The 27004-nt window shown below is 35.6% G+C and overlaps 1 long non-coding RNA gene across 3 annotated transcripts in view; it reads left to right on the forward strand.

Moving 5' to 3' along the window:
* Positions 1-27004, forward strand: part of LOC105377862 (uncharacterized) — a 322839-nt gene that overhangs the window by 29448 nt on the left and 266387 nt on the right. The window contains exon 3 of one of the 3 annotated variants that reach the window (NR_187978.1): positions 9967-10743. The exons of the other annotated variants lie outside the window; for them this stretch is intronic. This is a non-coding gene — a long non-coding RNA (uncharacterized LOC105377862). Of the gene's footprint in view, positions 1-9966; positions 10744-27004 lie in introns of those variants that run through there. 3 annotated transcript variants of the gene reach the window in all.

Below are 27004 nucleotides of genomic sequence, written 5' to 3' on the forward strand. Positions count from 1 at the left end.
TCTATGAATCATGTGTTTATCTGGCTGCTTCATTATATTTTTGTTATCTATTAACTTTCCACTCTTCAAGATGAGTATTATTATATTCTCTACCACTCTATTACTCACATGCATAAATCCTGTCTCCTCATGACTCCAAGTTGGTTATATCGTAATAATGTTTGCATTATTTTTATTTTTATATATTTTGACTATATAGAATGAATTCAAAGACGACCTATGTTGCACAATATGATATAGTATAGTTTGAAAACTATACTTTTCTCCTGAATTAATAATTATCCTCATCTATATGTAGTGTGTCCTTTAAATCTCTTCCACTAGCTTAAATTGCCTCTCAATGTCTTTAAACAGAGCAGTATTTTATTAATTTCATTTTCTTCCAGACATCTTTCCCAGGGACTCATGGCCTGATCCAATCAAGACCGGTAGTTTTCTAGCACTCCTGCAAGGCTATTTATTATCTTCTTTTGCCATTATCCATTTTGTTTGTCTCTTTTATGCATAGCGATCTCTTGTTTCCTGAATCCCACGTCTCCCTCTTTCTTGATCTCTCTCAGTTTCTTCCTTAGAACGGCTGCATGGAAGATAAGATTTTGGAGGTATTGTGTGTCGGAAAGTGTTTTCTATTCTGCTCTGCCATTTTTGTATTAGTCAGCCTGCGATAGAATGCTAGGTTCGAAATATTCATCCCTCTAGAATTTTAAAGGCAATATCATGTTGCTGTCGACATTCTGATTCATTATTCTTTGTATGGTGCTTTTTTATTTTTCTTCTATGTCCCTTACATTTTAAAATTTTATGGGGATGTACCTTACATTTTAAATTATTCTGAGAGTGTGTGAATTTATTTTTTCCATTGTGTTGAGTACTCAATGGATCATTTCAAAGTAAAAATTCATAATCCTACTTCTGGGAAATTTCTTTGATGATTCCCTTTCCCAAATTTCTTTATAGTACTCTGATTTGCATATTGGATCTACTGAAGTGAGCTTTAAAAATATTTTTACTACCTTTCTTCATTTTTAAAATTTTGATCTGCTTCCCAGCATATCATCTTAATTTATCTTCCAATCATTCTATTGTTTTCTCATTTCTGCCAACATGTTTATGATTTCTAAATGTTCTTTTTTCTCTAATATTCATTTATTAAAGCACTTTGCTTTTGTTTCATGGATGCAATATTTTAGAAATATTGTGTAGTCTGTTTTACTAAGTATTGTTTTCCTCTTTGCATATTTACTTGTTTGTCTTGGCCTCAATTTCTTACATTGGAGGACTACCTCAGACACACACACACAAGCCTGAAGACCTGTGGCCCTAAATGAGAACAGGCATTTCTTATGTGTGTCTGAGATAGCTTACTTTTTTACATTTGAGAGGACATGGAGCTGATTGACAACTTCTATGCATAATTCTATGCCTAGACACATTCTATGCATAAATGGGCTTTGTAGACTTCATGGTAGGTTCTATCTGTCTCATTAGGTTTCTAGTAGAGAATAAATAAGTGCGACAGAATATTATTTGAGTGACTATTTTCTTATTCTTTCAAAGGAAGCTATATAGCTAGTATCATTCTAAATGGAGAGAAGATAGGCTAATTATTTGTATATGACAGAAGCCCTAGAGAAGTAATGATTAATTCTCCTATGGAACATAGTTTGACAAGGATTACTTTGACCTCAATGTATCTTTATTAGTAGAATGTTTTTCGTGGCCTGGTTAGATTTTCTGAAAAATAATTTTACAATGAGTTATCTAGAGGTATAAAATGCCAACATTATGGCAGCTGTATGTGTGGAAGTCATACCAGATATTTCAATACTTCAGTGAGTAAAGGTTCACTGAGGCCCCTGTTTGCAGTAAGTGCTGGACTCTTAACCCTCAACTGTGCTAGTGATTCCCAGGCCAGAATTCTGTTATTTTCACTAGAAAAAAAAATCCTCAATCCATAGTAAGAGAGATGAATGGGAGGGACTATTCTGCTCAGAATCAACATGAGTACTCAAGGGTGTAACTTGTTAGTTGCAATTTTAACTGATCCATTAGCCCTAATTTTATCCGCACTTCCAGAGCTACATGATGCCATCCATCTTCAGTCTTCAGAAGTTTCTGCAGTGTAATGGAATTTACTCCGGTGCCTGCTTACAGTTCAGTTTTCTGGGGTCTTCTAAGTTATTTACCACTCATTTCCTGCTAAACATCTCAGATTTTGTTTCTATTTTCTCCTCTTCCAGTCTCTTTTCTTTCTGGAATTTTGTGACAAAACAAAACACAACACAACATATTTTACTGTTATTTTAAGGAGTTTAGAAAGAAGCAGAGGAAAATACATATGCTTAGTTCACTATTTATAACCAGAAGCCTGATTTTTTTTCTTTATATTACACTAATATTTTGCAGATATAAGATTGTCTCATTCTTCACTGTTCCAGGAAAAAAAAGTATTTGCTTTTCTGTTTATTCCTTCCTGATAGACTTCAGAGAAATGAAAAGCATGTGTCTATGGGAATGTTATTTGCAAGTACATTACATATTTATAAATATTTGTTAGGAATAATTTGTATAATATCATGCTTTTATTTTCAAGAAAATAAGCCTTTGTTCCCCACTTTATATAAGTCTCCTTTTAAGACTTTGTAGTAAATATTTTAGTTATTTATTTATGTTTCTTATATTTCTTGTTAAGATGGTTACAGATTATTTAAGATAAGTTTGTAGATTTTTAAAATACAATATTTGGCTGGGTGCAGTGGCTCATGGCTGCAATCCCAGCACTTTGGGAGGCGGAGGCGGCTGGATCACTTGAGCCTAGGAGTTTGAGACCAGCTTGGGCAGCATGGCAAAGCCCTATCTCTACAAATAATAAAAAAAATTATCTGGGCATGGTGGTGCGTGCCTGTAGTTCCATCTACTGGGGAGGCTGAGATGGGAGGATCACTGAGCCCAGTGGTGGAGACTGCAATGAGTTGTGATGGAGCTGCTGCACTCCAGCCTGGGTGACAGAGTGAGACCCTGTCTCAAAAAAAAAAAAAAAAAAAAAACTCCCTTTTACACAATATTTTATTTCCATTAAATTTCCTGAGATTATTCAGTGTATAAATAAATTTTACTTTGTGAACATTTATTTTGTAACCAGGGAGATACCTGTATTTTTTCCTTCTAATAAATTTTACTGAATATTGCTCTTGTGCCTTAAAAAGACAAATAGTATTGGGAAATAATTTTCTCACTCTTTACAATAACTATTCTTATTTTTGAAACTCTAAAGCAATCTCATTAATTTCTGCTTTCTTTTATTTGTCTTTTCTGGAAGCATTAACAGCTTCTTTTCTATTGTCTCACAATATTACTTTAGTTTAAAAGTTTTCTTGTGAAGTGATGTATGCAATTTTATATTTGTGTGCAACTCTGACTTTATAAGAAATATTTCTGTGAATAATGTAATCATTTTCATAACTTTATAAATCATCTGCAATTATTTGTATTAGTTTTTTTACCCGTTATTTATAGGAACAGCATTTGCTTTTTAAGTAACTGAAATTACTTGCTTGAACTTTAATTATTACATTTTTAAATTACTCTGTTCAGTAGGTATCACACTGGTGGCCACAAGGCTGCATTCCACCAAGGGACATATTTTGTTTAGAAATTTTGTTATGTCTGTGAATAGTCTTTAAGATGCAATGTTAACTATGCAGGAATTGATTATAACTCTAGAAATTCAGCACCTATTGTTTTATACCTGACCAATTTCACACACCTTATGCAGATAATTGTCCTTTTAAGCTCTAATTTAGGAAATTCAATTTTATTTGTGATTATCTCATATTTAGGCTAATGGTTATTTCATATTTAGGGGAAAGAAAAACTTTAAATTTGTTCATGAGAATCAAAGAATAATTTTCAAAATTGTTTATATGCAGTATGATAAGAGGCAAATACTATGTACTAAGCACAAAATAGTTAACCTGATATTGTCTTCTTTTAATAACTGCATTCGATCATAATTATGATTGTTACTTTTTTTTTCTTTTTTTTTTAAATTATACTTTAAGTTCTGGGGTACATGTGCAGAACATGCAGTTTTGTTACATAGGTATACCCGTGCCATGGTGGTCTGGTGCACCCATCAACCTGTCACCTACATTAGGTATGTGTCCTAATGTTATCCCTTCCCTAGCCCCCCACCCACTGACAGGCTCTGGTGTGTGATGTTCCCCTTCCTGTGTCCATGTGTTCTCATTGTTCAACTCCCACTTATGAGTGAGAACATGTGGTGTTTGGTTTTCCGTTCTTGTGATAGTTTGCTAAGAATGATGGTTTCCAGCTTCATCCATGTCCCTTCAAAGGACATGAACTTATCTGTTTTTATGGCTGCATAGTATTCCATGGTGTATATGTGCCACATTTTCTTTATCCAGTCTGCCACTGGTGGACATTTTGGTTGGTTCCAAGTCTTTGCTATTGTGAATAGTGCTGCAATAAACATACATGTGCATGTGTCTTTATAGTAGACTCTGTCTCCAAAAAATAAAAATAAAATAAAACAATAGCCAAATTCTACCAGGGATATTGTTTTGTTTTATTTTATTTTTATTTTTATTTTTTGGAGACAGAGTCTTACTCTGTTGCCCAAGCTGGAGTGCAGTGGTGTGATCTTGGCTCACTGCAACCTCCACCTCCCGGGTTCAAGCAATTCTTGTCCTTCACCCTCCTGAGTTGCTGGGATTACAGGCACATGCCACTGTGCCTGGCTAATTTTTTTTTTTTTTTTTTTTTGTAGTTTTAGTAAAAAAGGGGTTTCACCATGTTGGCCAGGCTGGTATCAAACTCCTGGCCTCAAGTGATCTGCCTGCCTCAGCCTCCCAAAGTGCTGGGATTACAGGAGTAAGTCACCAAGCCTGGCCCTGATATTGTTTTAATACCTCTAAGTTTTGTCTAACTAAGCAAGATGAAAGAATTGAGCTAATAAATTCAGCGATATTCTAATTAGCAAGCTGTAGAAGTAAATATATCAATAGAAAATATGCCTTCTACTGCAGAGGTAACTAATATAGGGGGACAGAGAAGGAGCTGCCACACTTTTTCTGTAAAGGACCAGATGGTAAATATTTTAACTTTTGCCAGTTGTATTGTCTATATTGCAGCTACTCAACTGTGTTGTAGTGTAAAAGAAGACATAGACAATATGTAAATTAATGTGCATGGCTGTGTTCCAATACAACTGTTTTTTTTTTTTTTTTTTGTGATTGTTGCTTTGTGTTGTTTTAAAACAAGTGTTAAGTTGGATTTGGCCTATGGGCCATATTTTGCCAACTTTTGGGATAGAGCAATTTAGCAGGTCTGACTTATACAGACAGAAGTTGGGGAAAACTCTAAGGATGGCCTGGAAATGATACGGACGGGAGACAGGAAAATACTGGGTAGAAGAGGGCGGTTCTCCAGCAAAGGCCCGACTCTCAAGCCTGAAGACTTGTGGCCCTAAATGAGGACAGGCATTTCTGTTTTCACGCCCCAAAAGTTGCCTTTTGGCCCGCTGCACCCCCATTCTTCCCCCATATAAACCTGAAACCTTAGCGGGCACAAACAGAAGCGGCTGAACATCGGGACCAGCAGACCAAGCCACTGCGGAACAACGCAGCAGAAAAAGAGAGAAGAGTAGGGATTGGACTTGAGGGGAGTTCAGCAGCGGGCAGGCGGAGAAGAGTCCTGCCGCTGGGCGGCCCAACTCCAGGGAAAGACCACCTTCCCACTCCATCCCCCAATTCCAGCTCCGCATCCATCTCACAGAGAGCCACTTCCACCACTCAATAAAACTTTGCATTCATCCTTCCAGCCCACTTGTGATCCGATTCTTCTGGTACACTGGGGAAGGACTCAGGATATAGTAGGCTGTCACACTGGCCCCCTGCCCTTGCGATAAGGCAAAGGGTCCATTGAGCTGGTTAACACACAAACCATCTGCAGACCGCAAGTCTGAAAGAGTTTGGTAACACACGCCCACTTGGGCTTAGGGAGTCGCAGACACCCACTCCTAGACACTGTCTGGGGTTGGAGCCCAAAAGCGCTCCCGTGGGCCTCTGCGCCTGCCTGCGTGCTCCCGCTAGGGGTCTGAGCTGCTGGGCGACCAAGCTGGCGACACCCACCCTTGTCGCACTTCCTGCGAGGGGAATCAGGGAAGTCTCTCCTTTCAGAACCTGGTCATGAGAGTTGCATGATGGCTTTGTCCTTCAGTTTTCCCACTGAGGGAGTAACTGAGAATGGGGAGATCAGTCAAGATATGGTCTTTCATATGTACATGCATTCAGTCTTTTTCTACATACAACACCCAATTTTTTTCTTTATGGTTCTGGTATGAGAGTGACAATGATTTTCATCTAGTTCAATGAGTCTAGCTAAATTAGGAGTAAATTGAAATAATTATGATTAGAGAATGAAGTTCATCTATTTTATTTTCATATTGGAATTTGTCCTTGTGATGATGCTTGCTATCTTCTGTTTGACCTGACGGATCAGATGTGCACATTTTTCTGCATTACATGTCTCACAGGAGGCTGAATTGTATGGCTATAATCCATGGTCTTGTGAGCCCACTGGCTGCTGACTGTCTTTACCCATAGAGGAGGAAAGAGTAAGCTCCTCTGGAGACAAAAGAGAGAGAAGACAATTAAGATATTTATTCCCTCGGCTCCTTCCCTTTTTTGAACGTTACAACATTTTCTGATAGTTCTTTCAGGGTTTTTAGGCTCCCTCCCCTCACATTTTCAGGAATCTGGAGCTAGCTTCTGGATGTTGCATCCTCCCTGTGGTTTCTCTATATCTTGACCTTTTCTTTGTAAATAGCCTATTTTTAAAACTCTTCTCAAATTAGCTATCTTTTGTGTGCAATTTGTTTCCTGCCAAGACTCTAAATGATAGAGTTCACAAACAAATGATCAATACCTTGGTAGCCTAAGGAAATGGAAAATATTTATAGAAAAAAATGTTCATTATATTGATTAATTTTTTTTTTTTTTTCTGAGATGGAGTCTCACTCTGTCACCAGGCTGGAAGGCAGTGGCATGATCTTGGCTCACTGCAACCTCTGTGTCCCGGGTCCAAGCGATTCTCCTGCCTCAGCCTCCCGAATAGCTGGGACTACAGGCATGTGCCACCACACCCAGATAACTTTTGTACTGTTAGTATTTTAGGGTTTCACCATTTTGGCCAGAATGGTATCCATCTGTTGACCTCATGATCCGCCCACCTCGGCCTCTCAAAGTGCTGGGATTACAGGTGGGAGCCACCGTGCCTGGCCTATATTGCTTAATTATTTTACTTAGTTAAATTTTATCTTATTTAAATTTTTATTTTTGTAATCTATAGAGAGTTATATTAAAGTGTTACCTATAACAAATATATTTATATAGCTTTCTTATTTTTTATGTAACGTTATTTAATTGCCCTTAAAATTTGTAGACTTTAGTTTCATTTATGTAAAATGACCTTCCCTTTTCCGTTCAATAATTTTTCATCTTTAATATCTCACTCTCATTTAAATGTAGCTGATCCAGGATTTGCTTACATTAGATTGATAACATTTTGCCTTTTCTTTCATTTTTATCACATATAAAATATTTATTATTACTTAAGTAATCTAATTTCATAACCAAGTGGAGAAAACACCAAATATAATTTAAACAGAGATCACTAATAATCTCAACTTCATAGCCAGCTACTGTTAGTATTTTCATATTTGGCATATTCAGGATGAGTAAGATGAAATAGTTGGTAAAAGCAAAATGTAATAAAAATAAAGTATCCATTTCTAAATTTTAGTTTAACTTAAAACTTATAAAGTGCATTAGAAGGCAGTAGTTTTGTATGTACACCAAATACTTTTCTATATGGAGCCATAAAAATAGGATGATGATGATGATACTCCCTTTCTGAACACTTCATTTTCTCCCTTTGCCTATGAAATTAAATGTCAAAAAACTTGCTTTCAGGTAGTCTTTGTAGTAATCCCCTGCCTCCTTTTAAGGAGCCGATTCCCAGGCCCTGTATTTCAGCAATTCTTACTTATTAGGAATGGAGAGGGATTTGGAAGTTTGGGTGTTTAACAATAACTCAAGGTGCTTTAGGTGCACGTGGCCTTTAGACCACTGTTTCAAGAAAATTGTCTTGATGTAACCAGCAAGGCCCTCATAGCCACTTCTGACTGTCTCCAGCACTCACTCTCAAAGGAACCCTCTCTACTGGCTTCACTTCAGCCATACTTAACTATTTGAAGTCTCTGAATGTTGCCAGGTTTGTTTATGCCGCATAACTTTGTTAGTAGTGCTCTCTTGAGCTTGTCTATCTGTAACATCAGTTTATTTATTGACTCTTATCTCCCATCCTATTTCCAGTCATTGTGAGATACACTGTGTCAGGGAAAGGCTGTCTCATAAGCCATCTTACTGATGCTACCTTACTCTTACTAGTATGAACATCCACTGTCCTCTAAGACACTATCAGGACAAACTCCAACATGGCCCATGCTCATTTAATTTAGGCACTGGTACAATTTTGAGGTTCCATAGTCACCATTATCAGTGGAACTCCTACCTTTACGGTGCACTAATCTGTGCACTCCTCCTGTGCTATCCAAGTCTGTGTTCTTAGAATTGCAAATGAGTGATCAGCCCTGAATCCGCAGTCTCCTTTCTGAATATCTCTTCTACCTTCAAATCTTAACTAAACTTGGCTATCTCATGAAGACTGCATTCTCAAAATGAAGTATTCTAAGATAACAGCTTGGGTCAACAGCTTCTTTGCAAGCTGCATTTTTTGGAAACTATTATTTTTATTTTCTTTGCTAGAAAGAGCCACTACTACATTGAGGCTAACACCATTATAATTTACCATCTTGCTATTCCCTCACCACTGCCATGTGGTTTTCTTCCCATCATTAATTAAAGACATTAGACTCCTTATTGTAAACCAAAAAGTGACTGAGGCAGATCTCAATCAATTTAGAGGTTTATTTTGTCAATATTAAGGACATGCCCAGGAAAAAGAAACACAAGTCAATGTAGGATCTGTGTCCCATGCTTTTTTCAAAGAGGGTTATGAGACCTTCGATATTTAAAGGGAAAGAACATGTGAGAAAGAAAAAAGAAAAAAAAAAGGAAGGGAGGGTAGACAATGAGGCAAGTGGTTATTTTCTTGTGAGGCTCTGATTAGTGCTCAGTGAATCTACATTTTACAAGTGGAAAGAAGTGGGTAGAGGGAAAGTCAATTATGCATTAATCTTGTTCTCAGTAAATCTAGATTTTTTACCTAATACAAGTAACCATGTAAAATTAGAGTCATGGCTTTGGGAACAAAAGGAAGGTACTTTTTGTGTGACTAAGTTACCAAGATTAACTTTTCCCTTCGGCATAGTAAGTTTGGGGTCCTGAGACTTTATTTTCCTTTTACATTATCAATCGAGATATCTATTATGCATTATTCTGGCTTCCTGAAACTTGGTCTAATACAAACACATATGGCATTGGTTATTATTAGGCATGGTAGGCAACAATCTCTTCATATTAATAAGAGTACAAAAATGTTCACCTGCATGTTTGTTTCAATTTATCTCAGTAAGCTTCTAGAGTTTAGTTCTACCTAGTCCTAAATATAATTGCAAATGTATAATTAATATAATTGCAAATCTAAAATTAATATAATTGCAAAATATTTTATATACTGTGGTTACATAGTGTTTATATTCTGTGGTTACATATTCTAAATATAAAGTGTATATATAGTATATATATCATATATGCAAATATATAAATGAATATAAAATATCTATGTATATAATCTATTTATATATCAAGTATTAATATTAAGTAGGCTATTCCCTATTATACTTTGGATGTTAAACTGTTTTCAGAAAAGGGGCCAAGATATTTATTAGAACTTGTTCCCAGATTTTTTCTTTTCCCACAGAGCCCTGACAGATGAGAACCAGGAATTTTTTGTTGAAGAGCTTTCATCCTTTAGTCATGGAATTATTCTGGAGCATTTTTTCCTCTTCTTCCAAGTGTTCAAGTAATAAGAAAGACAGCAGGATCTTTTATTTCAGAACAAACATGAAGTTATTTAAGATTATGTTATTGAATAGTCAAAAGATTACTATGGAGACTAAAGAGTGCTTTCAACCTAGAAAAATGACTTTGAATTAAGAAAAAAATACCTTAAACACTTGTCCTAGATAAGAGCCAGTGTGAATTGCCTAAGCACTGACTATGTGATTTTTCAGAGTGCTATTTCGCAAAGTCATCCCACAGCCAGATTTCTAAACATAGACCTTGTAAATCGGAGGGAAAAATCCAGAAGACATTTTTGTACACTAGGGTCAGATGAAAATTTCCACTCTGTAGTACTTTGTCCTCTAAACAACTTTATCTCTCTGCCCTTTATTTTAAATTTTGGAGAATGGGGGTGGAGGGTTAATTAAGAAAGTCAAACATTTATAGAAACATTTAAGTAATCAAATTGTTATTATGTCTTGACATCTGGTCTTTCCCATCTTACATCTTCGTAAGATGTACTCTCCTCTCTTTTTTTTCCAACATTATTGAACATGTTTCATAAGGTCAAGATCACAAAATGTTTTTCTCCCTTGGGAAAGTGACTATCTAGAAAGCAGCTGAGGTTAGGGGCTACAGTTAACTACTGCAGTCAGTTATGGAATTTTAGGAATAAGAGCAAGAGCACAGAGCATGAGATTAAAGAAAGAATACATTTTTTAAAAAGTCCACAGTATCAGTAGCCTCTAACACAAGCTGCTCCCACGTTAACTACTGAAAGGCAATACAAGCAACTGCTGTTATCTGGCAGAAGGAAAATTACTTGCAGCTACTTTGAGCTACAGGCATGTTCTTAGCTAGGCACACTACGTTGGAAATACGTGGTGAGTTTTGTCAATCCACATGTAGTGAAAGCTTAAGTGATTATTTAAGTAGCTGAAGCAAAGGAGTGTAAAACTAGCATTTATTGAATACAGAATTATAGATTTGGGAGAGTAGTAAAACGATAATCAGCAAGCTTCCATTCTATAAACAGGCTCTTGCAGAGTGACAATTCAAAAGAATGCCTTCTACACTGTCTTGCACAGACATAATTATAAAATATTCTTAGTGGTAGAGAACATTTACCAAATAAATATATGTTTAATAACTACTCAGAATAAAATGTTTCTATGATTTCATAGTTTTAATCTTCTGTGATATGCAGTTCTAATGATTACTGCTTAAAAGAGGGTTTGCATTTGGGTGAAAAACTATGAATCAATCTGTTATTCTGTATTTTAAAATAGATTGAATTTCTGTTTTCAGGAAAGGAAACATTTATGTTCTTATGTACTAAGTATGCAGGGATTTAAGTTTATATTTACTTTTTTTCTGCATCAATAATCTATGTTTCAAAGTATTATTTGTGTAAAACAGTGTAAAAAACATACTGAATTAAATTCTCCCCTGAGTGAGAAACAATTTAGAATTTGTGGTTATGTCATTTGACAAGTGAAGTCTACATCTAAGCAGAAAAAGAAAATGTTAAAACAATGTTTAAAAAAATATTAAAACAACAACAAACTTACAAATTTCCAAAAGAGTACTTTTTAATGAAGTGGATATCTTTGTCTGAAAAAAAAAAGAACCAATTTTGTAGAAAAAATAACTTGTTTTTCATTTTTCATCTGCCATGTTTTTGCCATGTACCTAATTTTTGAGGGGGAGGGATTTTTTTTTTATAAAATAGAAATAATAATATATACCTAAATTTTCATGATGGGTGATATTGTATTTGTTGCTTTTTATTGCATGTATACCAATTTGAAACAGGAAAGGTTTAATAAGTAACACGCTCATCAAATGTCAGATATTTTTATGGATAGGCTCAATTTTAGGTTCAAGGTTTGGTTTATATACTTAACAAATAATCAAGAAGCATTTGCACATCTAACAGCATTTAGTCAAATCTGTTAGAACAGACTTTCTATAATTCATGGAAAAACTAATGCTTCTTTGTGTTGCCTAATATGCCTTCTTATAAATGAATCACACTGGTCTGACAGAAAGTTGATCAGAACACTCTTTTGAAGACTGTACAAACCAGCATAAATAAGATGCATGCAATAAGTATGACACATGGATATATATCTGAAACGTCATTCATATATCAGGCTCCATTTGTATTATGTTAAATTCATTGTGTCAAGAATATGCATAATATGCATATGTGGGATTCATAATCACTCAAATGTAGATTATTATGGAATAAAATGTAGATTTATTCAACTGAAAAATAATGAACTATGATAAAAAGCAAAAACAAAACCCAGAACAAGTCAAAGGCAAAAAGGCAATCTTTCCTTCATTATATTTGCAAAGGAAATACCTGTATGACACCTCAACAAATTTTGTCCAGTATTTTTCTCAAGTGATGAGACACCTGGTCCACTTAATATCAGGAGTCTACAAATTAATAGTCTTAAACAGATCTTCAAGAGACTACATGATTTGTATATTCCTCAATTATATTAGCAGTAAGAAACATCTCTTGTATCATATTTACTCATTGTAATCATGCAATAAAAAAGTTGATAGTGCCTGTTTGCATCCATATGACTCAAATAATTTGAGTATCTTTTTCTCTGTATTTTCTTCCTTTGGTTAATATATTAGAGCTCCTTGCGGATATAAGAGAAACAATAATAATGATATTGCACTTGTTGCCCATCCTTCATCCCCTTCATCCATATAGTGTTATTTTATTTTAGTGATACAAATTTAAACAGGTTAATAAAAAATAGTCTCCTGAATATACTTTGAAACAAATATATAACTTTTATACTTTATTATTGTGAAATTTAACACACATGCCAAAAATGCAACCCCTCAACAAATGGTCACATTTATTATTATAAAATGAGCATCTGTGTAACTACCACTGTTGGCATCTATGGCCTGTCTAAGAGCAGGCTGCCATGATGCTGGCTGCAGTGGGGGAGGCTCTGCCTGGGCTACATGATCCAGGGAGCAAGCAGGAGCTGGGAACAGGTGGAAGCCCTGTCCCCTTGCAGGTTGGAGGGGCGAGAGCCCTACCGTCCCAGGCACAGCTGCAGCCACCCAGCCATGGCTTCAGACCTAGGCATCTCTGCATTCTCGGGGGCCCAGGAAGCCTCCCTGCCCCTGCAGACACAGAAGTACCTACTCCTGCTGCCTGGCCTCTACCCGCTCCCAGTTCCCACTCCAGTTTCAGAGCAAAGTTGTGACTGAGCCTGGGCACTGTCACAACCCAGCCAGGTGTGCATATGCTGAGGGCAGTGCTGACACGCCAGTTCCCTGCCACCTTGGCTGCCTCCAGACTTTGGGCATCTAGAAGCACAAGAGGGACCCCATGGGGGGCTTAAGAGCGGCTCAGTATGGGCCTGCAGACACCCCTCAACATGCACTGGGTGCTGTGGGCACTGTGGATGGCAGGTTAATGGCAGCAGAAGGCAGACAGGCTCCTGGGCAAAAAGGGGAAGGTACTCTATGAAATCCTACCTTCAGGCCAGTGACGGCCTGAGGCCTGGGGGCTGGGCTGCCAGTTTTGTGGACTGGAGTGAGAACTTACGGTGCTTTTTCCAGCCTGCCCATGGCCACTCATGGACCAATCAGCATGCACTTCCTCCCCTCGGAAGCCCATAAAGACTCCAGAGTCTCCTAGACTTGGGCAGAAAATGGGACAAACTGCCTGTGGAGAGGAGCTACCCACTGTGGGTCTCCTCTCTGCTGAGAGCTGCACTTGTTGGGATGACTTGCCTTTGGAGAGGAGCTACCCACTGCAGGTCTCCTCTGTCTGTCACTCAGGAAAGCACCTCTTCACCTTGCTCACCCTCCACTTGTCCAGATGTCTCATTTTTCTTGGACCTGGTACAAGAACTTAGGACTCACTGAATGTTGGGGCTGAAAGAGCTGTAATACAAACAAGGCTGAAACACGTCCCCTACTTGCCACATTGCAGGTGACGAGAAGAGCTGAGGCCCTTTGGGGAGCCCAGACCTAGGAGCTCCCTGAGCCAGGGCTGTGACTCCCTCTTTGGGGCTCTGCGGTTCCTGGTGTCCCCAAGCTTCCAGATGCCACTGCCTTCCCTGGTGCCTGCAGTGGAAACCACTTGCAGTATGCCTGGTCCAGACACAGCCTCACAGGGAGCCAGCACCCATGTCTGCCTGGAGCTGCCTGCCCCACTGCAGCCAACATGCCCGGCTCTGTGCAGTGGCCAGACCCCATGATCACAAGCTCACACGCCCCTCACTGCTCCGCACCTGGCTTGCCCTTGGCAGGTATGGGATGTGGGCTGGTAGTGCCAGCCTAGTGCAGCCTGCCAGGTTGGGTGGGTGGAATGAGCCCAGGGGGCCCAAGTAAAACTTGGGCAAAGGCACCACTGGCCAGGGAGGTTTCTGGCTGAAGAAGTGACACTCCAAGGATCCCGTGACATCACTCTGGTCAAGAGATTGAACATTATCGTACTCCAGAGGCCTGCTTCTCATATTCCCCATCCCCAACCCTATGTCTCCTTCCTTCCCCTTAATTACTATCCTGATTTTTACGTAATCACTTCTTTTATTTTCATAATTCATAACATGTTCGTTGGAAGAGCTTCTACAGAAATTTTAATTTTGCCAATTTAGGTCGTGTGTGCAAATGAAATCATATAGTGTCTAAATATTATTTTGTATATGGGCTCTTTCACTCAATGTTATCCTTATATGATCATATCATGCATGTGGCTGCAGTTCATACTGCATTGTATAAATATATAAATTAATTTCACATTTTACTATTGATCATTTGGGTTGTTTCTATTTTATAACTATTGTGAACAATTTCATTATGAACACTCTTCTAAATAGTTTTTAGTGTCCTGCTGAACAAATAAATATATAATTTTTATATATTTATACAATGCAGTATAGAAGTGGAATTGCTTGGTCATAGGGAATGCACAGTTCAAACTTGTTAAACTTTAGTAAATAATGCCAAGTTTTTTTCCCAACAGTTGTCCCATCATCAGTATATATGAGTTCCTGTAGCTTCAATACTTGACAGCAGTTGGTATTATTGGTCTTTTTTATTGTATCTATTTAGTGGGCAGTGGTTGCTTCTCCCTGCGGTTTTAATGTGCATTTTTTTATTTCTCTTGAGACGGTTACATTTTCATATTTACGAGCTATTAATATCCCTCTATATAAAGTGCCTATTCAAGTCTTCTCTCTCTCTCTCTGTCTTTTAATGGAAAATCTGTCTCTTGTGTTTTTCTTATTGATTTGTACTTCTTTACAAAATCTGGATACAAACTCCTTGTCTGTTACAGGGTTACAAATTTTTACTGATATGTGGCTTGCCTTTTCATACTCTCAGTTGTTCTTTTTAAAAGTTCGTAATTTGAATGTGGCCAAATGGGAAAGGTTTTCCCTTGATTGTTAGTGTGCTTTGTGTCCTAGTTAAGAAATCTTTCTCTAGAATGATGACATGAAGATATTCGCTTATATTATCTTCTAAAAGCATTATGTTCTATGCTTCACATAAGAGTCTATATGCTTCACATAAGAGTCTATAATGTGTGGAATTTATTGTTAAGTGAGTGATGTGATATAGGGTCCAATTCTCTTTTTATCTAGACAGATTTCTAAATGTCTAAGCACAAGTTTTTGAAAACAGTCTACTTGTTCTTCCTCCACTGCTCAGCTGTGCCATCTTTGCTTTAAATCACGTATCATTATACGTGTGGGTATTCTCACTAGGTTTTAAAATTTTGTCTATTCTTGAATCCATGGCCATAGTTAATTACTCTAGCATTTTTTCTTTGTAAAATTGAACTTAATTTTTACTTTATTTTTGATTCAGGGAGTACATGTACATGTTTCTTACATGGATACAATATGTACTGGTGGGGATTGGGCTTCTAGTGTACCCATTATCCAGACAGTAAACATTGTACATATTAGATAATTTTCCAGCTCTCACTCCACTTCTACACTCCTTAATTTTGGAGTCCCCAGTTCTATTATTTCCATCTTTATGTCCATATGCATCCATTGGTTAGCTCTCCATTTTTGGTATTTACCCAGTAGGCTACTAAGAACTATATAGATGAGTGTTCATAATGGAATTTTTCACAAGTCATAAAATAGAAACAACTCAAATAATCAATGGTAGAATGTGAAAATAATTTTTATATATTTATAGAATGCAGTATGGATGAACTGCAGCCACATCATGGTGTGATCATATAAACCTAACATCGAGTGAAAGATACTACACAGAAAATAATATGTATGCACTATATGATTTCATTGATACACACTACACAAATTCTACATTTTCATACTAGAATGTGAAACAACATTGACTTTTAATTTATTTTTATTTATTTATTTTTTAATTTTCATGAATTTGGGGTACAAGTGCAGTTGTTTTACAAGATATATTGGGTAGTGGTGAAATCTGGGCTTTTAAAGTACATTGTACCCAACAGGTACAATGGAATAATGTACATTGTACCCAGTAGGTAGTATTTCAGTTCTCACCCCCCTCTCATCCTCCCATCTTTTGGAATCTTCAGTATCTATTATTCCACTCTATATGTCTGTGTGCACCCATTGTTTAGCTCCAACTTATAAGTGAGAACAGGCAACTTTTAACTTTCTGCTTCTTAGTCATTTCTCTAAGGATAATGATGACCAGCTCCATCCATGTTGCTGCAAATGACATGATTTTATTTTATTTTTTTTAATTTCCAACTTTTATTTTAAGTTGTGGGGTACATGTGCAGGATGTTCAGGTTTGTTACATAGGTAAATGTGTGCCATTGTTGTTTGCTGCACAGGTCATTCCATCACCTGCATATTAAGTGCAGCTTCCATTAGCTATTTTTCCTAATGCTCTCCCTTCTCCCATTCCCACCATGTGACAGGCCCCAGTGTGTGTTGTTCCTCCTATGTGTCCATATGTTCTCATCATTAACTCCCATTTGTAAGTGAGAACACATGGTATTTGGTTTTCTGTTTCTGCATTAGTTTGCTGAAGATAATGGCTTACAGCTCCATCCATGTCCCTGCAAAGACATGATCACGTTCCCTTTTATGGTTGCATAGTATTTCATAGTGTATATGTACCACATTTTCTTTATCCAGTCTACCATCGATGGGCATTAAGGTTGATTCCATGTCTTTGCTATTGTGAGTAGTGCCACAATAAATATATGCGTGCATGCATCTTTATAACAGAGTGATTTATATTCCTTTGGGTATATACTCAGTAATGGAATTGCTGGGTTAAATGGTATTTCTGCCTCTAGGTCTTTGAGGAATCGCAACACTGTCTTCCACAATGGTCGAACTAATGGTTTTTTCCTTGTAAATTTTTTAAGTTCTTTATAGAGTCTGGTTATTAGACCTTGGACAGATGGATAAATTGCAAAAATTTTCTCTCATTCTGTAGGTTTTCTGTTTACTCTGTTGACAGTTTCTTTTGCTGTGCAGAAGCTCTTTAGTTTAATTAGATCTCATTTGTCAATTTTTGCTTCTGTTGCAATTGCTTCCACTGTCTTCACCATGAAATCTTTGCTCATGCCTATGCCCTGAATGGTTTTGCCATTCATTTCTTCTAGATTTTTATAGTTTTTGGTTTTACATTTAAGTCTTTAATCCATTTTGAGTTTATTTTTGTATATGATATAAGAAAGGGATCCAGTTTCAATTTTCTGCATATGGCTAGCCAGTTCTCCCAACACCACATATTAAACAGGGAATCCTTTTCCCATTGCTTGTTTTTGTTAGGTTTGTTGAAGATCAAATAGTTTAGGTATGCAGTCTTATTTCTGGGTTCTCTATTCTGTTCCCATTGGTCTATGTGTCTGTTTTTGTATGGGTGCCATGCTGTTTTGATTATTGCAGCCCTGTAGTATAGTTTGAAGTTGGGTAGCATGATGCCTCCAGCTTTGTTCTTTTTGCTTAGGATTGCCTTGGCTGTTTGCGGTCTTTTTTGGTACCATATGAATTTTAAAATAGTGTGTTTCTAATTCTGTGAAGAATGCCAATGGTAGTTTAATGGGAATAGCATTGAACCTATAAATTTTGGTGGGCTCTATGGCCATTTTCACAATGCTGATTCTTCCAATCCATGAGCATGGAATGTTTTTTCATTTGTTTGTATCCGCTCTGATTTCCTTGAGCAGTGGTTTGTAGTTCTCCTTGAAGAGGTCCTACACTTTCCTTGTTAGCTGTATTCCTAGGTATTTTATTCTTTTTATGGCAGTTGTGAATGGTTGTTCATTCATGATTTGGCTCTCAGCTTGACTGTTGTTGGTGTATAGAAATGCTAGCCATTTTTGCACATTGATTTTGTATCCTGAAATGTTGCTGAAGTTTCTTACCAGCTTAAGGAGATTTTGGGGACCTGGTGTGGAAACTCACACCTGTAATCCCAGCACTTTGGGAGGCGGGGGTAGGTGCATCACTTGAAGTCAAGAGTTTGAGATCAGCCTGGCCAACATGATGAAACTGAGTCTCTACAAAAATTAGCCAGGTGTGGTGGGTCACACTTGTAATCCCAGCTAGTTGGGAGGCTGATGTGGGAGGATCACTTGAACCCAGGAGACAGAGGTTGCAGTGAGCTAAGTTCATGCCACTGCACTTCAGCCTGGGCAACAGAATGAAACTCCATCTGAAAAAAAAAAAAAAAAAAAGAGAGAGAAGCTGTTGGGCTGAGATAATGGGGTTTTCTAGATATAGGGTCATGTCATCTTGTAGACAAGGATAGTTTGACTTCCTCTCTTCCTATTTAAACACACTTTCTTTCTTTCTTTTAACTGATTTTCCTGGCCAGAACTTTCAATGCTATGTTGAATAGGAGTGGTGAGAGAGGACATCTTTGTCTTGTGCTGGTTTTCTAGGAAGAATGCTTCTAGCTTTTGCTCATTCAATATGATATTGGCTGTGGCTTTTTCATACATGGCTCTTATTATTTTGAGGTATGTTTATCGGGGAACCCACCTCCAATATTTCAACATAGATTCTTTCTATTTTCCCTAAGTGTCAGCTGACTGAGAAATAAAGAGACACAGTACAAAGAGAGGAATTTTATGACTGGGCTGCAGGGGGTGACATCACATATTGGTAGGACAATGATGCCCACCTGAGGCTCGAATCAGCAAGTTTTTTATTAAGGGTTTCAAAAGGGGAGGGGATGTAATAACAGAGAGTAGGTACAAAGATCACATGCTTCAAAGGGCAAAAAGCAGAACTGCTGATAAGAGTCTATGTTCAGTGGTGCACTTATTGTCTTGATGAACATCTTAAATAACAGAAAACAAGGTTCAAGGGCAGAGAACCGGTCTGACCACAGATTTACCAGGGCGGAGTTTTTCCCCACCCTAGTAAGCCTGAGAGTACTGCAGGAGACCAGGGCGTATCTCAGTCCTTATCTCAACGGCATAAGACAGACATTCCCAGAGTGGCCGTTTATAGACCTCCCCACAAGGAATGCATTCCTTTCCCAGGGTATTAATATTAATATTCCTTGCTAGGAAAAGAATTTAGTGATATCCCTCCTACTTGCATGTCCATTTATAGGCTCTCTGCAAGAAGAAAAATATGGCTCTTTTTGCCCACCTCCACAGGCAGTCAGACCTTATGGTTGTCTTCCCTCATTCCCTAAAAAATCACTGTTATTCTGTTCTTTTTCAAGGTGCACTGATTTCATATTGTTCAAACACACATGTTTTACAGTCACTTTGTACAGTTAACACAATTATCACAGTGATCCTGAGGTGACATACATCCTCAGCTTACAAAGATAACAGGATTAAGAGATTAAAGTAAAGACAGGCATAAAAAATTATAAAAGTATTATTTGGGAACTGATACATGTCCATGAAATCTTTACAATTTATGTTCCTCTGCCGTGGCTCCAGCTGGTCCCTCTGTTCGGGGTCCCTGACTTCCCGGAAGATATGTTTCTTTAGTATGTAGTTTATTGAGAGTTAACATGAAGAGATCTTGAATTTTATTGAAGGCCTTTTCTGCATCTATTGAGATACTCATGTGGTTTTGTCTTTAATTCAGTTTATGTGATGAATCACATTTATTGATTTGCGAATGTTGAACCAACTTTGAATACCAAGGAAGAAGCCAATTTGATCGTGGTGGATAAGCTTTTCGATGTGCTGCTGGATTCAGTCTGCCAGTATTTTGTTGAGAATTTTTGCATCAATGTTCATCAAGAATTTTGGCCTGAAGTTTTCTTTTCTTTGTTGTATCTCTGCCAGGTTTTGGTATCAGGATGATGCTGCCCTCATAGAATGAGTTAGAGGGGAGTACCTTCTTTTAAATTTTTTTGGTTAGTTTCAGTAGAAATGGTACCAACTCCTATTTGTACCTCTGGTAGAATTCAGCTGTGAATCCATCTGGTCCTGAGCATTTTTTTTGGTTGGTAGGCTATTAATTACTGCCTCAATTTCAGAGCTCATTATTGGTCTATTCAGGTATATAATTTCTTCCTTTTTCAGTCTTGGGAGGGTGTAGGTTTGCAGGAATTTATCCATTTCTTCTAGATTTTTCTAGTTTATGTGCATAGAGGTGTTTATAGTACTCTCTGATGGTTGCTTGTATTTCTGTGGGGTCAGAGGTGATGTTACCCCTATCACTTCTGATTCTTTATTCTTTTTATAACTGATTAGTATTCAACCGTACATACAATTAGTATATATTTACATGATGTTTAAAAAACTATCATCCTCTGATGGACACTTAGTTTGAATCTGTGACTTCGCTATTGTAAATATTGTTTGCTGTGATAAACATGTGAGTCCACGTGACTTTTTGATAAAATTCTGTTCCTTTGGGAAGACACTCAGTAGTGGAATTGCTGGGTTAAATGGTACTTATATTTTCATTCCTTTGATGAATATCCAAGCTGTTTACAATAGAGGTTGTACTAGTTTACATTCTTCCCAGCAGCATATAAGCCTTCACTTTTCCAACATTCTCTCCAACATCTATTGTTTTTTGACTTTTTCATAATATCCATTCCAACTGGTGTGAGACGGTATCTCGTTGTGGTATTAATTTGAATTATCTGATAATAAGTAATGTTGAGATTTTTTATGTTTGTCAGCTGCTTGTATGTCTTCTTTGGAAAATGTCTATTCATGTTTTTTTTCCCACTTTAAAACAGGGTTATTTAGCTTTTGTTATTAAGTTGTTTGAATTCCTTTTAGATTCTGGATATTATCCCTTTGTCAGATGCATAGTTTGCAAATATTTTCTCCCTTTAAATTATTCTCTTCTGTATGTTATCTGTTTACTCTATTGATTATTTATTTTGCTATGCAGAAGCTTTTTTGGTTTAAGTCCTATTTGTCCATTTTTGTTTTTGTTGTGTCTCTTTTTGAGGACTTAGTCATAAATTCTTTCCATGGACTAATGTCCAAAAGAGTTTTTCCTTGGCTTTCTTCTAGGATTTTTATAGTTTCAGGTCTTATATTTAAGTCTTTAATCCATCTTGAGTTAATTTTGGTATACGGTGAGAGATAGAGGTCCAGTTTCATTCTTCTGCATTTGGGTAGCCAGTTTTCCCAGCACCATTCATTGAATAGCATTGAATAGGATGTCCTTCCCCCATTGTTTCTTTTTGTTGAGTTTTTGAAAATCAGTTGGTTGCAGGTATGTCTTTATTTCTCAGCTGTGCAGTCTGTTCCATTTATCTATGTGTCTGTGTTTTGTACCAGTACCATGCTGTTTTTGTTACCATAGCCTTATAGTATAGCTTGAAGTCAGGTGATGTGATGCTTCTAGCTTTGTTATTTTTGCTTAGGATTGCTTTGGCTATTCAAGCTCTTTTTTGGTTCCATATGAATTTTAGAATTGTTTTTTTTCTAATTATGTGAAAAATTATGTTAGTAATTTGACAGGAATTGTGTTGAATCTGTAGATTGCTTTGGGCAGTATGGTCATTTTAACAATATTGATTTTTCCTATTCGTGAGAAGGGAATATTTTTCCATTTGTTTTTGTCATCTACAATTTCTTTCATCGGTGTTTCTTGTTCACCTTGTAGATATTGTTCACCTCCTTAGTTAAATGTATTCCTAGGTGTGTGTATGTGTGGCTATTGTAAACACAATGAATTCTTGATTTGGTTCTCAACTTGAACATTGTCGATGTATAGAAATGCAGCTAGTATTTGTATGGTAGTTTTGTATCCTGAAACTTTACTCTGATGATCTTTTGAATTTCTGTGATATGTGCTGTGATGTCACATTTATCATTTTTGATTGTGCTCACTTGAAACTTCTCTTTTTATCTTGGTGAATCCAGCTACTTGTCCATCATTTATCCTTTATATTTGAAGCAAGAGAGAATATTATTTATATTTTCTTGAAAAATCTTAAAATAGGTTTATTCATTTTGTCAAGAAGCATCTTTTGGCTTTATTTATTCTCTAGTGTGTATTTATTTTCTATTCATTATGGTCTGTATTTGTCTTTATTATTTTCTTCTTTTTTATATTTAATGTGTCTTTTTACTAAATTTTTTGAAGTGAATGACAAGATCGTTAATTTGAAGACTTTCTTATTTTCTGACACATGTATTTTAAACTACACATTTTTATATAATAACATTTATATAAAATATGTAAAATTATTTTGGTCATTAGATTTATTTTTTCTAGTTTTCATTATTATTATACCTATGACTCATGATTAAACTATAACTTAATTTTCCAAAAGATTGGTATCATCTAATAATTTTATTATTATTAATTTCTAATTTAATTTTACTGTTGTGAGGACATAAACTGTGATTCTAATCCTTTGAACATTCTCAAAGACTTGCTTTAAGTCTCAATAAATTGTTCAACATTTAAATATATTTCATATGTGCTTGAAAATAATGTGGATTCTGTAATTTTCCAACTATGTTCTGTATAGCCTTGGAGCAGTTTTGTAAATCTTTTGTTCAAATATTCTAAAGATTTACTGAGTTATAGTCTTTTCATTTTATGAGTTACAGATAGAAGCATATTAAAAATTCCCAGTTAGATTGTTGATTTAGTTTTTACCTTGCAGTCTGTCAATTTTCAATTGTGAAGTACACACCACACACCTACACACACACTCACAGACATAAAACCATATATATCTTATATTTGTGTCATTTAATTCATGTATAGAAATTTAGAATTTAAAACTCCTGTATTTTCACTGTGAATGGAATCTGTAATGATTTTAATTGTCTCTATTTACTACTGATATTCCTTTCCTTTAAAGTGCCTTTTTTTTTTTTTCAAATATTGCTATAGCTGAACCACCTTTATTTTAGTCAATATTTGCATGGTATGTCTTCTTTATTCTTCAGTTTACTTATGTTTTACATGTGTTTCTTACACATAGAATGGAGCTTTATTTCCAGAATATAACATTATTTGTAAAATTCACCTAATTGTCCAATTACTTTCAGTGTGATTGCTAATATTAGTAACTAGTGAAATACTAATGTTTACCATGTTAGTGAATACTTCATACTTCTCCTGACAGTTCTATAATCCATGTTCATAATGTTCTTAACTTCCTTTAGGATGATTCTATATTTTTTATTATTAACTTGCTTTGCTTTGTCATTTGTAAACTATAAGTGACTTTATTATTATTTTAGTGCTAATTCACATTACATGTCCTTGGTTAATTAAAATCTAACGTTCATTGCCAATACTTTCCTCTTTTCAGCCAACACTAAAACCTTATAATATTTTAGTTTTATTTACTACTTTTATGATTTTTAATTTATTTTTAATAATACTTATGTATACTCTGTTATTAATATGCTATTATAAATATTATTATTTTATCTGGTCAGTATTTATTTATGTTTATCACACATTTACCTTTTGGTTTCTTTTTATTCTTTCCTGAGTCTTTAACCTTCCATAATATTTATGATTTGTTTCAGATGAAAAATGTCTTTATTATAATATTTCTTTCAGTGCAATGTCTGCAGTATAATATTTTGTTTTTGAGTTTTTGAACAGAACATTTCTTTCTTTCACTTTCTTTTTTAAAATTTATTTTTATTAGTATAGCATTTTTTTCTGGTAATGTTTTCTTTCACCACTAGGAATGTGTCATACCACTGTCTTTGGCTTCCATTTTTCACATAGAAGTGACTTGTAAGTTACTCTTTGTAGACTATCTCTTTTTTTCTGGTTAGTTTGACTACATTTTCTTTGTTGTTGTTTTTCTGTACTTTTATTATCATATTTCTAAGTGTGAATTTCTTGAACCTGGAGGTTAAGTTGAATTTCTCGAATATGCTTACCAAATGTGTAGCTTGATGTCTTTTATTAAATTGAGAAAAATCTTAGCCACACTCTGTACGTTGATTCTACTCTATTTCTTGCTTTCCTCTTTTCCTGGGATGCCAATTATATGTATGTTATATCTTTTTACCATGTGCCTCTTTCTTTATTTCATCTTTTCTGCTTGTTCGTGCTTTTACTTCTACTTATTTTCTTCTAACTTTATTTTTTAGTTTCATAATTAACTCATCAGTGCTATGATCTCACTACAACCTTCCTAATTTCAGTTACTATGTTTTTCATTTCTATATTTTTGGCTCCTTTCCCACAGTGCTCTAATTTCAGCTGTGTGCTTTAATTTTCTGTCTAATTTTTATCTCCCTAATGTAGTGATAACCTTATGTTAAAATCTGTCTGATTATTTTTATTTCTGGAGCTACTGCTTCCACCGTTAGTTGTTTTGCTGATTTTATATCATGTTGCTTATTATATTTATGTCTCTTTTAATTTTTCATTTTGTACTGAATAGTTTGTTTGAATAGAATTAGGAAGATTTTCTAGATAAAAACAATATCATTTTGCTCCAGGAAGGATTTTGTTTGTTTGGCACTGACACCACTAACAATGTGGTATCATTATAATTCAATTTCAATAATTAACATTTTGGGGCATATCCAGATGATTTGAAGTTTAGCTATGGTCTGTGCAGAGACTGTTGCATATTAAATTTTTGTTTATTCCCTGAGTGCAGCCTTTTGCCATTATAACTACACATAGTGGGTGGGTTGCTAGACATTCCACTCTTCATGGGCCTTGTGCTTCAACTTCTGTGGCTTAGATCCATGAAACTCAAAAATGCTACCCAATTTATCACTTGGTTTCTCATATCAATAAGTAAATATGTCAGGCCTCTTTCTTGGTCTCCTGTTTCTCACTGCAGTGTCAGTTCTTTGACAACTTCTGGCAAATTCTATTAAATGTCTAGGTTTTCTAATTTTCATTATTAGCTATTTTGGTCCAAATTATCTAAGTTTTCTGTTATCTTAAGTCAGTGTCTTATATATTTTATAATTCAACCTAGATATCTATATGTTTCAATTATCTATTAGAAAAACTGCATAGAACTGAAGTTAAGATTATAGCCTGTGGATCTTGATTGCCTGGGTTCAAATCATACTCTGAGACTTCCTGGCTCTTTGGACTTGAGAAATAACTTCATCTCTCTATGCCTCAGTTTCCTCATCTGTAAAGAAGGGACAAAAGTGTATTTCATTTATATTAATATTTATGAAGCATTAAAAACCATTTGACTTACATGACTTAAAGTATTACAGAATATTATAAAGTTAGTACTTGATCTGTGATGACTGCAACATGTTATTTTATGCATCTTTCCTTCTTAATATTTCTTTTTTGGCCAAACTTCTTTCAAAGTTTTGTAACTAAATCTTGCCTTCCATAACCAAAAAATTACTCACAAAGATGTTTTTCTAAAAGTCAACAAAATGGCTGGAATTTTTATGGCTGGTACTACACCTGAACATATAGATACATATGTGTATATGTGTGCGTGTGTGTGTTTGCTATTAGATATATATAAAATAACATTATATATAATGCTATATAGATATGTGTATATATTGGAATATATATACATATATAATGTAAACGTGTGTGTGTATGCTATTAGATATAATAGCATTATATATAATGCTATATAGATATGTGTAAATATTGGAATATATATACATATATAATGTAAACATGTATATATGTATATATAATGTATACATATGTATATATATTCCAGTATATACACATATCTATATAGCACATATATATGTATATGTGTATATATATTCCAATGGTTTTCCCTTTCTGTTATATATAAAATCATATAATGCTAGAGTTAGAGTTAGAGGGGACATTTCAATTCAGTGATTCCAAAACACTTCTTCAACTATGTCAGGATCCTGTGAATGATTTTCTGAAAATCGGTCTGGGAGCAGGTCATTGAGGACATTAAGATGTATTAAATCTGGAAGAGTTTTCAAGAATTGAACTCTAATACATATTGTTTCCATTCTGCTAAATCAAGCTGCCTTCCCACCTTAATCCATTATGACTTACATTGTTTTAAAGTTTAGATACCAGTTATTTTTAGAAGCAAAATACACATACTTTTTTGTTGAGAAGATAATGTATTGTCATTATCATGCTATCATAGTTTAGTATTTTAAACCTCTGTGTTTAAATTATTTTCACTTCAGTGTCAAAATATGGGAAAAGTTTATTCTGATTAGGGTCTTCTATTTAACTTTGTAGTATGAAGAAGGCCTTGAATGAGTTACTTACTTCTTCCCACGCTCTACAAAAATAAAACCCCACAAGGAATTACTTGATCAATTTTGAATTCTATAAACAACATTCCTATGTACACATTTTAAATACAAGAGCATAAAAATGATAATGTGTTCATTAAGAATGTATTTATTTTTGGCTTAAGTCCTACTTCTTATTACCTTAAAAGCTGATCATGGTTTTCAAATCAGGTTTAGGGAAACACAGTAAAAGAACAAAAATAAATGTATAAATTTTACTCACATCGTATGTCAATCCCCTTAAGCCGGGTTAGAGTTT

The sequence above is a fragment of the Homo sapiens genome, chromosome 6 (genome assembly GCF_000001405.40).
Source record: "Homo sapiens chromosome 6, GRCh38.p14 Primary Assembly".
NCBI classification, from domain to species: Eukaryota; Metazoa; Chordata; class Mammalia; order Primates; family Hominidae; genus Homo; species Homo sapiens.